We start from the raw sequence: 3,482 nt of genomic DNA on the forward strand, positions 1-3,482 counted from the left end.
CTGCCATAAAAAACTCAATTTTTGTATTTCTTACAGATTTGTCTTCCCTGCAAAATGCCTTGGGAACAGTCTTCATGTTATCATTTGCAAAATGCTGACTCACAGGAGATATTGAATATGTGTTTGTTGACTGGCTACGAAATGGAAATGTATTGTTTTCTCTATTATGAAGAGAAAGTGAGGCAGAGCAAGCAGTTGGAGGAGAACGATATTTAACTGAGAAAGAAATATGTCCACAAGGAAGTGATCAACAATCCTACATGCTGCAAAGTGATTAAGGAGAATAAAGATCAAGAGGATGTAGAAGCCTGATTATAACTGGAAAGAAAGTTAATACATCCTGAGGACAGCAGTAGGTGTAAACAACAAATTCATACATTTTGTAGAAAATAGAGGTGAAAAACTGGTTACAGAAACTCAGTGCACAGCAAGGGCAAATAAGCTTGTTTGCAAGCTAGAAGTCTTCTGTTGATGCCAAAGAAAGAAAATAGTATATTATGTAGCAGGAATGGACAGAGAAAGAACCTGTGAAATTTATTTTTATGGAAATTCACTTAAGTGTTTTTGTACTTTTATTGTATATTCTAAGCAAAATAATATTTTCCTAATTGACTCAATAATTTTATAAAAATTGGCATCATATATGGCTAAAGAACAATTAAAATGCATTCATAAATTATTTAGTGATTGATTTGTTTGTTGTTTGTTTATTTATATTGTGCTGCATTCCACAGAGGAATTGAGATGCTTAGTGACAGCTAATATTTGCACATCCCATTCTTATTTACAAAGTATTTTACATAAACATTTAGACCCACTGAAATCCTTTTGTGAGAAAGGAAAGAAAACTGAGAAGAGGGTACTGAAAGTCAGTTAAGAGCAGAAAATATGTATGGGACATTTACCATTTGGTTGCAGACTCTATGTTAGGTAGTATCCTATAGAAGTGCCCAAGGTTTCTTATCCTAGATAAGCATACATTGTAATGAAAGAAACAAACATATAAACAGGCAAACTCCAATATAGTCATTAAAATAAATGCATATGCAACATGATATGAGAGCAAAGAAAGGAAAGGACAATTTAGGAAGAGCTTCCCAGAGGGATTGATAATTAATTGAAAGTGTGGGGAGGTGAAAACTTATAAAATAGACTTCAGGTCTGTGTACTTGGGATACGTTTTTGCCATTATTGTAAGTTGTACGTATATGAAAGCTAAGAGATTTATGATACTAGATAATTCAATTTTATTTTGAACCTTAGGAGCTTAACGTAACTGAGAGACAGACATGACACACAACATGTATGAGGACATAAAGGAGGTAGAAATGTAGGATGCGGTCAGGGAGAAAGAGAAACACCAGGCAGGAGTCATTAGGGAGTCATTAGCATAATGATGGAATTTTCAATCAGGTGTGTAAATTAAAACAATGGAAGAGAAAGTACAGAAAAAGTGGCACAATGGTGAGACGATGGATATGTTAGTTTGCTTCACTAACCTCTTTACTATCTATGTGGATCCTTTAACATGTTGAATACCCTAAATATACACAATAAAATCTGCTAAAAAGTAAAGCACAATTAACTAGTTTACAACTCTTTGTAATATAAAATGTTTCAAGGTCAAATATGGGGATAAAATCCCATAAAATGAATACAAAGGACTGGGGGAAAACCAGACAAGATAGTGTTTATAAGATAGAAGAAGAAAGAGTTTGAAAAATGAGCATCAAATGCATCAGAAAGTCTCAATAAGATGTATACTGAAGAATCCGTTCTAGAAAATCAGCAGTAATATAATGGAAGAAATAGAAACTGAGTTAATATATTTAAGTATGGGAAGTGAATAGTGAAGCTCTTACTTCCTGGATGAGTCTTATAATACTTGGCTGACAGAGGAGTCAAAAAATACAGGAAACCTAGAAGAAAAATATAAGGAGCCTATAAAGAGGCAATTTTGACAAGAAACCCAAATGACTCACATACGTAACTGATGCATTGAGTCTGTTGGCTTTAATGGGGCAAAAATAAGAAATGACTTTATTTTTATTCCACTACTATGTTCAGTCAGGCTCTGCCAAATTTCTCACATCTACCCGTCGATGATCTCTAGGAATCCCAGAGCCTTTCCTTTACTTTTATTTATATGAGTAGTCTTATTTTGGTAGTTGCTACTTACTTTCAGATATAATAAGGTTCTGTTCACTCCTGTATCAAACTTTAATCTTACGGCAAATAAAATTTTTCTCTATTATTCTGGGCTCACACAAGAACCGTAGCTTAGCTTCCTTCAGACGGGGAGGCATGGGAGCATGATATAGAAAACAAGAAGGGGGCAAAAGCATTTCATTTATGTGATGCAGGTAGTAATTTTCACTTGGATATCAATGCTCTTTGTGAACAGAAAGTACACTTTTCTATGCAACACATTTGAAGATTCATTCAGTTAAGCCTGAACGGTTCTGCAGATAATCAGTTAATAGTCTCCTATCCTTACAGGTAAGTCAGACTTCTCCAAGAGGCTGCCTTACAGACCCTTCCCAAACCTCGAGGTGACCTTCTCAGGAATTGTAGAGGATGGAATCTCAAGAGTCCAGCTCTCATGAATACGCTCTTTTCGCATCTGGGGTCTGTGAAGTGTGGCTTTTTAAGTTTTCATGTGGCTTCCAAAAATGTAAATAGAAAAGCCTGAAAACAGCAACATGTGAACACCTGCAATCGAGCTATTACTGACGTTTGAATTAACACAGTAGCAGTCATATAGGGAATTTTACTTCTTTACATGAATTCCTTATCATCTCAACCCAACTTTGGAGGAGCCACCAGTGCAGAAACAGAGAGAGGCAGTGGAAAAGAAAAGAATGAAAGAGCCAGTGCTTCTCTTCCCTGCTGCATATCCTTAGGCCCAGGTGCACCAATTGAAATGGGAGGAGTTGCCTTAACCGCCTCACAGGGCTTGTGACAAGGGTGCGGCTCACTTCTTTGGCGTCCTGCTGCTCAAACCCTTATAAGGAGCGTGCAGACTGGCAGGTCGTGGGGAGCGTTTTGGGCTGCGACCCCACAGCAGCGTGGAGAGTTGAGTGTTTACGGCTCCGGAAGCCACAGTGGGAGTTGTGTTACAGTGTGCTCTTTCAGTTTTGCCATGACAAGGCGGCTTGTGTTAGTTAGCTCTGCCTTATCGCTAGGACAGAGGGCTTTCTGTTTCCCAGGTTTTTACCCTAGTGTACCAGAAAAATCGGATCACACGTGGGCTTGGAGGATGGGCGCAAGGTTTTATTGAGTGGTGGAAGTAGCTCTCAGTAAGATGGTTGGGGAGGCCAGAAAGAGGATGGAGTAGGAAGGTGGTCTTCCCCTGGAGTCTGGTCACCCAGCAGCCGGATTCTCCTCCGACTGGCCCCAGCCGAATTGCACGTCATCCCACCCTTGATGGCCTGCTGGCATCTGCTGCCGTCTGTCAGTGTGCTCTTCTGCTCCTCTGCTCC

General features: G+C 38.9%; 1 annotated feature.

The window, feature by feature from the left end:
* Positions 2,779 to 3,280: an enhancer, noted in NCBI's record as "H3K4me1 hESC enhancer chr4:35526741-35527242 (GRCh37/hg19 assembly coordinates)". NCBI's record gives its function as "activates a minimal SCP1, AML or CMV promoter by ChIP-STARR-seq in naive H9 embryonic stem cells {active_cell/tissue: H9 hESC(naive)}" and the evidence as "EXISTENCE:reporter gene assay evidence [ECO:0000049][PMID:30033119]".

This window comes from Homo sapiens, chromosome 4 (assembly GCF_000001405.40).
Source record: "Homo sapiens chromosome 4, GRCh38.p14 Primary Assembly".
NCBI lineage: Eukaryota > Metazoa > Chordata > Mammalia > Primates > Hominidae > Homo > Homo sapiens.